The sequence below is a fragment of the Homo sapiens genome, chromosome 1, assembly GCF_000001405.40.
Source record: "Homo sapiens chromosome 1, GRCh38.p14 Primary Assembly".
In the NCBI taxonomy this organism is placed as follows: domain Eukaryota; kingdom Metazoa; phylum Chordata; class Mammalia; order Primates; family Hominidae; genus Homo; species Homo sapiens.
In genome coordinates this window covers 237324279-237337131 of record NC_000001.11, presented here as the reverse complement: position 1 = coordinate 237337131, position 12853 = coordinate 237324279, and the positions used below count along the sequence as shown (strand labels likewise).

At 36.9% G+C, this 12853-nt stretch overlaps 1 protein-coding gene across 18 annotated transcripts in view; it reads right to left on the bottom strand.

Annotated features, from left to right (window-relative positions):
• The window catches only part of RYR2 (ryanodine receptor 2), a 791805-nt gene that overhangs the window by 496857 nt on the left and 282095 nt on the right, over positions 1-12853 (bottom strand). For all 18 annotated transcript variants that reach the window (XR_007062490.1, XR_002957299.2, XM_006711802.4 and 15 more), the window contains exon 3: positions 6150-6254. Coding sequence is in view for 16 of the 18 variants with exons in the window: in XM_006711802.4 (XP_006711865.1) it covers positions 6150-6254 (105 nt within the window). In the remaining 2 variants the exon portion in view is untranslated. The remainder of the gene's footprint in view (positions 1-6149; positions 6255-12853) is intronic.

Here is a 12853-nt window from a genome sequence, read left to right as displayed (position 1 = left end):
TACAGGCACGTGTCACCACGTCTGGCTAATTTTTTGTGGTTTTAGTAGAGATGGGGTTTCAACATGTTGGCTAGGCTGGTCTCGAATTCCTGACCTCAAGTGATCCACATGCCTCAGCCTCCCAAATTGCTGGGATGACAGGTGTGAGCCACCGTGCCCAGCCCCATGCATTTTTGAATGTTCTTAGAGTACATGTCTTAAAGAGATAGGGGTTTTATAAAAAGAATGACACAAGTGTTTTATTTAATTAATTAATTAATTTATTTATTTATTTAGAGATGGAGTCTCACTTTGTTGCCCAGGCTGGAGAACAGTGGTGCAATCTCTGCTCTCTACAACCTCCATCTCCTGGGTTCAAGCGATTCTCTTGCTTCAGCCTCCCGAGTAGCTGGGATTACAGGTGTGCGCCACCACACCCAGCTAATTTTTGTATTTTTCATAAGAGACGGGGTTTCTCCACATTGGCCAGGCTGGTCTCAAACTCCTGACCTCAAGTGATCCACCCACCTCGGCCTCCCAAAGTGCTGGGATTACAGGCGTGAGCCACCGTGCCCAGCCAACACAAGTTTTTTACTACTCCACATTCTACAGCTCCATTTTTCATAAAAGCTGGACATGTCTGAGTCTGATCTATACCTCTGTTAATAATTAAGTCATTGTAATATTTTGTACTTTGAAGACAGTACATAATTTAGAAAGAGGAAACATCATTACAGTTTCTTATAAAACAATAAGCCATTTTACTAAACTGAAACATAAAAATCATTTTAAGAATATCTCTGGACATGTTTTGGATTGTCTTCCTGACAAGTATTATTTTCTATTAAAATTTTAAGGAATTGCCTAATGAGCTCAAATTGTTCCTTGGAAAAAATTTTGAAATGATTTTTCTATTAATAGTTTTAATATTACTTCTAATAGTTTTGGAAATGATTCTAAAAAGTGCCAAGAAAATGTAAAGGAACAACAAGTTCCACGTACACAATTCCTTCTTCATGCCAACATGATAATTATATATACTTCTATAACATACATGAAATTATACTATAATTGTTTTTCTATCCCTGCAGTTGTAAACTCATTGATGACAAAAAAACACTTAAATTTCTATACATAGAACCTTTATAAGATATAAGTTACCTTATAAATGTTGAAAAAGCACCAAATGATTAGAATTGGATTTATTTAATATTCATTTCAATATTATTTGCTCATCACAATATTTATAACATTACATTGTGAATTTTATAGATTTTTAAAGTATCATCCATAACTTACATAGCGGTAAACTACCAATACCCACGATCATGAGGATTATATAGCAAATGAATGAATGATCCAAATCATAATCACCTGAATTATAAATGTTAATCTATTACTCCATCAAAGAGCACGATGTAAGGAGCAAAGAATGATTAATTTTAATTTTTTCTCTAGTTCAATCTACAATATTCTAATAATAAAGGGACCCAGTCAAGTGGCCATAAGCTAAAGTTGAAAAGGACAGGGTCCTACAATCCCCCCAGAAATAATTCACCCGAAAGACAGAAAGGACACTCAACGTGTATTTTAAAATACGCTGTCCTCAACAGAATATACAAGCCATATATTGGACTCATGGCATTAAACCAAAGCAACGCCTTTTCAACAGATGATAATTATTATAAATATTATTTGAAAAAGAACTTTCAGTAAATTTCCTGGACTCCAAAACCAAAGCCCTTTCTACTATACTACGTCACCTCTCACTTGATATCTGTGCTCATAGGAGATGAAATCCTTAAATTAACTTTGGCATTACAAATAAAGTTGTGTGAGAGAAAAGTGTCTATCATAATTTTGTGAATTAAGATAAAAGGAATAGCCAAAAGCACAATATTACTTAAATTATGAAACTTTATTAACTACAAAACACATGGAAACAAGCAAATGCTATCATCAACTCTCTATTCTAACACTGCTGCGGCATCATTAAATCGGCAAACTACATGTGCCAGGATTGATGAGAATACTGGGGTCGAGGGGAGGAAGTGGGAACTGGACTGGCTATGTCCCAGAGAAGGAAGAAAGCCATCAAGCCCAGAGAAAAGGCAGTCAGGAATTAATAGCAGTCCAACCCAGGGAGTTTAAAAGTATACAAAAAAGAATAAATAAAACAATAATAACATGCACCATCATTTAATAATTACTAAGCCTTGATGATAAAGTTATCTTTCCCAAAGCCACAGAGCTAACTATGGCAGAACTGGTATTCTCAAGCAGTTCTCTAAGACAATAAACCCCTGTTTTTAACCCTATGCTATATCATCCATACGCAAAATAGATCTGAAGAGCAAGAAGAGCAATACAGAGGTAGATCTGCAAGCGACAAGTTATCCAGAACCACAGAAAACCCAGTGGGGGAAATAGAAAGAACAGCAGAAGCCAGAATGTGCATAGGCAGACGCCCAGAGAAAACGGGGCCAAAGAGATGGTTGCTGCTCAACAGACACCTTCTCCTTCTCGTTGCCTGTGTACTGTCTCCATCCTCAAGATCTGAAAGCTTCTGTGGGCAGCTACTGAGATAGACAGGTCTTGGCCTATTTACTATTGACATGATTTTAATAAGAATAAAAGCTAAATGATAGTCAATGTAATTATATAAATACTGGATCTAGGTCTCTCTTTTAACATATATATATATATATATATTTTAATTAAACAGACATTTTAGAAAATCCACTTAGATGAAATCCTTCAGAATGATTTTGGTGCCACAAAAATATGAGTTATTTTACTAATAGTCACAATAAGCAACTTTTTAGGGAACCAAAACTTCATACATTAGGTAATATTTTCTCCCATTTCATCTTACACATCTTCTTCTGTTATCGTAATGTTCATGATTTACTTTGTCACAAATGACATTGGGAGTTTTCTGCTAAGTTTCCTTAACCATTTTATGAAAACCATGTATTTATTCATGACCCAAGAATACTAGCAAAATGGTCCTTAACCACAAAAAACAAAGGCATGGTTCTAAATGGAAAAATTTTCCTTATCATCAAGTGTGTTTGTATTGCTATGTGCATATAACATTTTGGACATGAAATAGTATAAGTATTGTTTAATTTACTGAATTACGTAAGAAATTAAAGAAGAATTATTAAATAAAAAAGAACAGGGCTTCGTAAAGAAAGTTGATTATGAAAGAGTTGGGAATCAGGGCAACACGAGGTTCTTTTTGACTCACTGTTCATCTGAAAGGAAAGAAATGATTTCTTGAAAATTCACATTACCTTCCTGACACACTTCATCCTAGGAAAAGTGGCTCTTCATTTAAGCAAACTACACATGATTTATTAACCTGGAGATAGTAATTTGATTGATAAAAAAATTCCCCATTAGAGTTCCATAATGAGTGTAAAGGGGACATTATAAGGCACTAGAAAAGATGATATTTGGAGTTCAGAAGACTTGGTTCCTACAAGTGCCAGCAGCATCCATGAGTCACATATCATCAGACATGATATCTAGCTGGTGCACATCCTTATGAATAAAATGGTTAAGTGGAAAATATCTATCCTTCTTGGTAAACAGTTGCTGCCGCAAGTCCCCACAGTGCTCCCTAACCCTGACCACCCCAGGGGTCCTCCAGGACACCCCCCGTTGCTCGGGCTACCTCCAAATCCATAAATACAATAGAGGCCTCCAGAACTCCTCCTCCAACGCTGTGGCTGGGGCTGTGCTCATTAACTGGCATCACCTGTGGCAAGCTAGGAATGAATATCATTTCTGGGTATAATCAAAAATACTCAGCAGTATGAGAGAAACTTTCATTTTTCCCTAATATACGGTACCCCGTTGAGCTATTTGACATTGGTTTCTTTCTAAAAGTTACTAATAACCAGAAATAGGTTTCAGCTTCATGCAATGTGTTTATTCCTTGTAGCAGTTTTTCCTCAAATTATACTTCCTAATTCATGTCTTATGGTAACTATACTGCGCTTTATAAAATAGTGTTCAACACATCACACAAATTACTACTTTATCTGTGATGGAGACATTCTAGAGAGTGAACAATTCAAAACTAAATTCAGCTAAATAAAAATACTTGAGGAGATCCAGAAATTCTAACTAATAAATGTCTTGAAAACATAAATCCTAGAAGCTGGGTACACTGTGGCATGCATCTGTAATCCTAGATATTCCAGAGACTGAGGCAGGAGGATTGTTTGAGCTCAGGAGCTCAAGACCAGCCTGGGCCATATAGCAAGACCCCATCTCAAAAAAACCATAAATCCTAAAACAGTATTTCAAATTACTTCCTATATTTCAAGAAACTTTAGAATTTGCCCAGCCCAACCTCATGATTTGAAGAAGATAAAAGATCTTCTCAAAGTTGTTAAATTTAAAAAACGCAACTTAACAATAAAAAAATTAAATTTATGGCAATTTAGTTCTAAGTTGTTATCTATAAAGACAGATGAAATGGCAAGATGCATTTTTTAAATGCTAATGCCAAATAAAAATGATCTTTCTTTATAAAAGCTGATTTGCATATCAAAGTTGATATGACTCAGGGATGTTTAAAAATCAGGAGGGGTTATTTCAGGTAGAAATGAAACTAAATTGAGAATTGTTTTACTCTTTCATAACTTAAGCATAACTGAGAAGGTTTACATGAAAGAATAGAAATTTTTAAAAGAAACTTTATATATTTTAATAATTTCAAACTTTGTTGTAAACAAAAAATGAACCTGAAAAACTAAAATACTAAGCTTTTGTAAAATAAGCTTCTAGTCTAATATCAAAAGTCACTAAAGTTTCTCTTCCCTACTTAATAGTACACTGCTGAAATTTAATTTAGAATTAATGCACAAATCAACTAAAGTCATAAGCTGCATGACACTAAAATTTTAAAAACTACAAGGCTGATGAAAATAACGTTATAACTGATCACTCCTTTCTATGGATAATCATTTATATATTACCATTTTTTAATCTCTTTATTTATCCAGACCAGAGTAATGATTAATAACAACAGCAACATATAGATCAATAATGGCAAAATAAAATTTTCAGTTTTCTCTCTGGAAATACTACACTTTATTAAACCATACACTGCAGTAATTACCATACCAAAAAATAAAAATTAAAAAACCTGGAAACAAAAAATTTGACCATTAATCCTCCTGCTTAATTCTAAACTTTAATAAATTGGTTAAGACTGGGTAACAGCCCAGATATCAGTCACAGGAAGTCTCATTGAAAATAAAATAACCAAATAGGCTTTGAAAGAAAAATACTTGCATTAGGAAACCACATAACAATTTCAGGGCTGGGCGCGGTGGCTCACGCCTGTAATCCCAGCACTTTGGGAGGCCAAGGTGGGCAGATCACGAGGTCAGGAGGTCAAGACCATCCTGGCCAACATGGTGAAACCCCGTCTCTACTAAAAATAGAAAAAAAAAAAAAAAATAGCCAGGTGTGGTGGTGGCAGGAGCCTGTAGTCCCAGCTACTCAGGAGGCTGAGGCAGGAGAATGGCATGAACCCGGGAGGCAGAGCTTGCAGTGAGCTGAGATCGCGCCACTGCACTCCAGCCTGGGTGACAGAGCCAGACTCCATCTCAAAAAAAAGAAAAGAAAAATTTCAATTTTCAGAGGAGAAGGATTAGCTGTTTGCAAAATTACAATAGCCTAAAGCCATATCACCAAAATTTGGTTACTTAAAATATATAACAGTGCCATGAAATTTTACTTTCCATGAAAAAGCTCAGAACATAGTCACATAGTGACAGACATTTGAAAATGAAATAAAGGTTAATGACAAATAGCCATGCATAAAGCTATGAGTTAAAATAATAACAATAACAGCTCTGAAAATGTAATGAAACACAGAAACGCTCAAAGAAAGGTCGGTTTTAAACAACAGACATAAGCACGAGGCCTAGTGACACAGATCACATCAAGCTTGGATATATTTTTTTAGTTTTCAAGACACCACAAATATGCTAGATAAAGCAGAAAGTCAAACCTAAGGACATTCCAACTGAAAGGCATGGACTTATTTTAGCAAAAAGAAAATCTCTGACACCTGTGAAAGAAATTGTTCCTATAGTAGCTGAGCTCATTAAAATACTACAAGTCTACATAAATTGGGTACTTGCCCCTTCTGATTTCTCCACGGTGTTAGCCAGCATCTCCTGCAGCGCCCGGACAGAGAGGGACTGCTCCAGCACAAAGGTGCAGATGGAGAGGTCTGGGGGCACATTCTGCACAGAAAGAGGAAGAGCAGTCAGCAGCATCATCTTCATCAAGCATCCAGACCCAGCTTACCTTAGGAGGCTCCAGTTTCTTTCATAGAAACAGTATTTGTCAACTTTCTACTGCAAGTTCCCCAGTCATCAAGAAACACTGTCATTACTCCTCATGTTTAATACATTTTAAAAAACCAGAGATAGTGGCCGGGTGCGGTGGCTCACGCCTGTAATCCCAGCACTCTGGGAGGCCGAGGTGGGCGGATCACCTGAGGTCAGGAGTTTGAGTTCAGCCTGGCCAACATAGTGAAACCCCATCTCTACTAAAAATACAAAAAGTAGCCAGACGCAGCGGCACAAGCCTGTAATCCCAGCTACTCAGGAGGCTGAGGCTGGAGAATAGTTTGAACCCAGGAGGCAGAGGTTGCAGTTAGCCAAGATCACACCACTGCCCTCCAGACCTGGCGACAGAGCGAGACTCCGTCTCAAAAACAACAACAACAACAAAAACACAGATAACAACAGCTGCCATTTATTGAGCAACAATAACAGCTCTGAAAATGTAAGGAGACACAGCTTACTCTGATACGCATTGCCCTGGGAGCTGTATCTATAATTCCTGTGGTCATCTATAGTAAGGATTATTACTATCACTCGTGTGAACAGGATAAACAGAGAAGTTAGATTCCTTTTCCAAAGTCACAGAGTTATAAAATTTTCACGCTAAGGATTAAAATCCAGATTTCTCTGACTCTCATACATTCATTTCTAACTTACCATTCAGTTTGCTGATAAAAAAATTAAAGAACAGAAAAATAATAGTTGTCTCAAATTAATATTAAAGATAAGCAAATATAAAACTGAATTAGTATAAAATATTCCCAAACACAGGTTTCTCCTTATCCACAAAGTAGCGATTACTTTGTTTTATTCAAGTTGGATGCTATATTTTGCCTCTAACTTGGTCCTGTTCTGTGTATATCTGTATTGCTTTATTTTTTCATCCTCCATCTGTTTTCTTTTTTTCTCTTTCTCTTAAACCGCTATCTCAATCAATACACCACAGATTCTCAAAATCACAACTCAGGAGGTGAAGGAACCAGGATAAGAATTGACTGGCTGTTCACGATTCAGGTGATGGGTGCACTAGAAGCCCAGACTTACCACTACACAATATATGCACGTAGGAGAGCAGTACTTGTCCTTCCCATATATTAACATATATATGTTTTAATTTCTTTTTTTTTTTTTGAGACGGAGTCTCACTGTGTTTCCCAGGGTGGAGTGCGATGGTGCGATCTCGGCTCACTGCAACCTACACCTCCTGGAGTCAAGCAATTCTTCTGTCTCAGCCTCCCAAGTAGCTGGGACTACAGGCATGCACCACCAAGCCCAGCTAATTTTTGTATTTTTAATACAGATGGGGGTTTCACCATGTTAGCCAGGATGATCTCGATCTCTTGACCTCGTGATCCGCCCCACCTCGGCCTCCCAAAGTGCTGGGATTACAGACATGAGCCACCGCGCCAGGCCTTAATTTTTTTTAAATATAAAAAAAGGCACATGGCTGTAGTCCCAACTATTCAGAGGGCTGAGGCAGGAGGAATGCTTGGGCCCAAGAGTTTGAGGCTGCAGTAAGCCATGGTCACACCACTGTATGAAAACCTGAGTGACAGAGCAAGACCCTGTTCTCAAAAAATAAAAATAAAATTGAAAAAAAGGAAGAAAATTCAGTTTGGATGATTAAATTGTGAATGCATTTCTTTCTTTTCTTTCAGTTTATGGAAATGTTTTCCAATAAATCATAATAAATAATGAAAAAGAACTGATTGGTGAGTTAGAACCGTAAGTTATTAATCATGTATGCTTTCGCTTAGACAAGCAGGATCCAGTATGCAGTCCAACCAGGTACAAGCAAATGTTCAATGGAGGATCTTCATATCAGAAGAACATTACAAATACATTAAACACAACATGTAAGCAAGTTACGCTTTCTTCATAAAAAGAACACTGGGAGGATAAATTTGATAAGCTGATGCAATGCATCCACATTACAATTTACACTGTTTTAAGTTTTTATTAAATTGAACCTCTACCATTGGAATGATTTTTCATCACAGCATAAAATGATGCTTTATGGTTACAAGGAAAAATCAAGTACTAGAGTTCTCAAATTAAAGCTAAAATTATTTTATGGATAAATGATGCCCACAATAAGGCCACAAAGCTTACTCAGACCACACAAACCCCACTGGTTCCCATGTTTTGTTCTGTTTTGTTTTTTTTTTTTAAATAAAATTTCCTTCTCTGGCTTCTGCCATCCTCCTATCATGGGCTCCTGTTTACCCAACCCAATCACTTTCCATTCCTGCTCAGACAATTTCAGCCAGCAAAGAGTCCTCTCAAATCTGGCACAGCTAACTGCATTTAAAGTCTGCAGTTGGCCAGACAAGGGCTTTCTTTCTAAAATCCTCATATAAAAGTTCAAAGGCTAGGAAAAGGACTCTCTTCTACTCTGGAATTTAGGAATACATACTCTTAAATTTCATTTTTAAAGTTCTAACCATACTAATTATAGTCTGTCCTCTTGAGATCAAGACAAATGCTAATGTAAAAAAAACTGTTAATGTAAGTGTTTATTTCATTTATATCCATTTAAAATGTGAGGGCTTATACTTTGGCACTGCTGAAAGGGCGCTATGTTATCAAATGGTGTGCTGGTGAACTGACTTGAAAAAAAATGCCTTGATTTGTAGCATTTGCCCATTTCTGTGGTGTAAATACTCCAATCACTGCTGATTTCAAAGTATCAAAGTTTACAAATTGGCTTACAAAAATCCAAAATATCTAACAATCAACCCTTGGCAGTGTCTAAGAGCTGTTTCCAGCGTGCCATTAGACTGATTTCAGACCAACATTTATTAATTGCTTTAGAATCAGCATATCCTAATAGTTAAGAGCATGGATTCTATACACAGACCACCTAAGCAAAAATACTGGCCTCATTACTTATTAGCTGTTAACTTTTATAATCTTTGGTTTCCTTCCCTAAAAAAAATTGGATAATAATTATACCCTTCTCATAGGGTTGTTATGAATAAATGAAATAATATATGTAGAGAGCTTATCACAGTGTCAAGAATATAAAAAGAACTTAAAATAAGTGAGCTATTATCATTAGTTTTGCATATTGTAATTCCTCTCCATTTCTGGAAATGATGAAGCACCACTTGTTTCTTAAAATCGGTTCTTGCATGGATTCTACTTCGCACAAATAGTGTTTGAAAACACAAATCTATAATTTTGCACCTGTTCATAACATCCAAAATGTTCCAGTATTGTCAAGAAAAGACACTTTCCGGTAACATTTAAAACTTCATATTCTGGGTGTATTTAAATTGTTTCATGCCTTTGCTTAGATCAAAATGTTAAAGTAAGGATTGCTGTAATATCTCATGTTATTTTAAAGATCCTTGAAAACCACATGGGTTTCAAATGAATTAATCCTGTCAAATGAATTTTATTTTTCCACAGAGTAATGAGCCTGCTACAGCTATTTTTTCAGATCGTGGGAGTTAGCATAAATAAACACGCCAACAATCTTCAAAGGCAATTCCCTGTGTCTTACAAACGCCACCCATTTTGTTCTGAGTCATCTTCACCATGCTTTCTCTTTGTACCCAGCTCCCCCTACACACACAAATGTAATAGAAAAGCTGAGACAGTTAAAAAAAAAAATAGTGTTTACCTTTCAGGAAAACTTAATACACATCAGAGATTTGTAGTGTTGTCTGTTTTGCTCTAAAGAAAAATGATCTAGTTATTTTAAACAGAATCATCAGCATAATTTGTACCTTTTAAAGTCAACAACTAAAAGTATTTCTTCATTTAGATGTCTATTTCTTCAAATAACATTGAAATTTGTACAGTTATACCCATGGTAGCATGTCAGGCCTTTGTTCCCACTTCCCAAAAATAAAGCAGCATCACTGGAAAATAAAGGGTCTCATTCATTCATTAAAGATCAGCTTCAATAAATGGCCCCGAACCAAAATGACTCCTAATGCCAGGAATGGAAGATAAGGTAAAACATTTTACAAACATGGGGAGTAGAGGCTCCCATTTGCAAGCATTTGAAAATTATCATCTTTTCCTTAGTCTTACTTTGTTTTTGCTTAAGTCTTATTACTGAGACAGTTAATTTTTAGAACTTCAATGTGAAAGAACGTTCCTTGCCCTTACTATGAGTGTGCTCCCAAATCATGAGAACTTTCATATAGTACGCTCTGCATTATAAGTGCTTCGAAATACTCAGATCACATCGGAACACAAAACCAAAAACTGCAGTTGAGCATGTTTACCTACCCGCCTCTTACACATTACATATGGCGTTTACCTGTAATGCAAAATTAAATCAGAGAAAGAGATTCAGTCTGTCTAAACATCTGTGTCTGTCTATTCTACCCAGAATAGTGCCTAAAGCAAGCTTGCAGGAGGGTAATAATACTTTTCATATGGAGACAACACCGATTTTATCAGAATATATATACTTTGGGAAAGGTAACAGACTTTAAGCCAGCAGCATGGCTGTGTGCCTTTTCTTGTTTCTTTTTTTTTTTAAATACAAACTGGTCACCATCCTCCCCTGCCTGGCAAACACTGTATAGTCTTAGAGGGGGAAAAAAATCTCAAGAATAACCACAAAGCAGCATCTGGCTTTGCTGGCTCTGGAGAGGCTATGTAAAAATCAATTAGGTTTCCAACCAAAGTATCCATCAACTACTTGGCTTCCAGAGTTGTATCTGCCTAACTCACTTAAAAACCTACTGAAACATGTCATTACCTTAACTGAATAACAACCAATAATTTAGGACTATATAAGCCACATTAAGCCACCATCCTTCTCATTATTATGTGTAAAAACTGCATACTAATAAACTACTCCATTTCACATCCTGATGCCTTTGCTTATATTTTTTTCTCCCTCGGCGTGAAGGTCCCCACCTATGCACACTATTTCATATTTTTAAATCACACATAAAATCACACATAAAAACATCTCCTTGTAGGGACGTCAAACAACACTGGAAAACTGAAAATTCTCTTTCCAAATTTAATTATACTCACTTTCCCTTTATAGTGTGCATATTTCCAGTCCTTTTTCTTTTTTTAATATATTTTTTGTTTTGTTTTGTTTTTGTTTTTGAGACAGAGTCTGGCCCTGTTACCCAGGCTGGAATGCAGTGGTACAATCTCGGCTCACTGCAAGCTCCTCCACCCACGTTCACGCCATTCTCCTGCCTCAGCCTCCTGAGTAGCTGGGACTACAGGCACCCGCCACCACGCCCGGCTAAATTTTTGTATTTTTAGTAGAGATGGGGTTTCATCGTGTTAGCCAGGATGGTCTCGATCTCCTGACCTCATGATCCGCCTGCCTCGGCCTCCCAAAGTGCTGGGATTACAGGCCACCACGCCTGGCCTATTTGCAGTCCTTTTTCTATGCATTTACATGTATACATATGCTATGTATTCATAGCAGTAGAAACATTCATGGCATGTAGAAATATATAGATTAGCTTTTTCCATTAATGGGTTCACGCTATATAAATTACCATTTTTAAATTTACTGATATATCCTGGAGATCACTGTCTGCCAGCAAAGATATTTCTACTTCATTGGCATGACTGCCACAGAATCTAGATACACCATATTCCTGCTGAAGATTAATCAACGTGTTCTGCCACGCAACACTGTCACTCAGCTTGGATCCCACTCTACCTCATGACCACCGCCACCACCAGCAGCAGCCCTAATACAATGACTTACACAAAGAAAATGTTCGATGTTTGATGAACTAACCTCAAACTATGATTTCATCTATTTCTGGAAAATCAAACAGATGCACATACACTATAGGGATACAGGCAGTTAGAGCCCTAATGACAAATCTGCTTTTGGTTGGGCTGTTTTGTTAACACTAGGTTTCCAGCACAAAAGCAAACAAGTTAATTATGCTTTTCACACTGCCTTTCAATTGGGCTCCAAGTGACCTTTGACATAACACAGGTATCTCAAAATGTATTTTGCAAATGAATGATGTAGTTAATGTTGACAGTTTGACAGCAGTAAATCCCCGTACCAGGAACATGGAATTCAGATCTCATGGGTAACTAGCCAAGATACCTCAGGGGAGTCGGGCTGAGCTTCCCTGCCTATGAAGTGGAAAAATACTTATCCGACTTCAAAGAGATCGAAAGAAGAAAATCAATGCATGATAACCTGGACAATGCCAATAAGTTATAATTTTATCTGCCTAATTTAAGAAAACCCTAAATCAGATTGAGAGCTCAGAATCAGAGAGATATAAATTAAGAGAAAAGCTGTTCTTCCACCAAGAGATGTGAAAACAGTATACTTTAAAACAGAGCAGATGGTCTGAAGTTGAGGCAGGTTTGTTTTTGCTTAGGCGCCCATCTGCTGTGTGGCCTTCAGGAAGGCACTGTAACTGTTGAGTGTCGACTTCTCCCCAAATGATGGAGATATCAAATTCTATGTCCTCCGAAAGATAAAGTGGTGGTTGTTGTTTTAATTTACCAACTAGAGACATGAACCA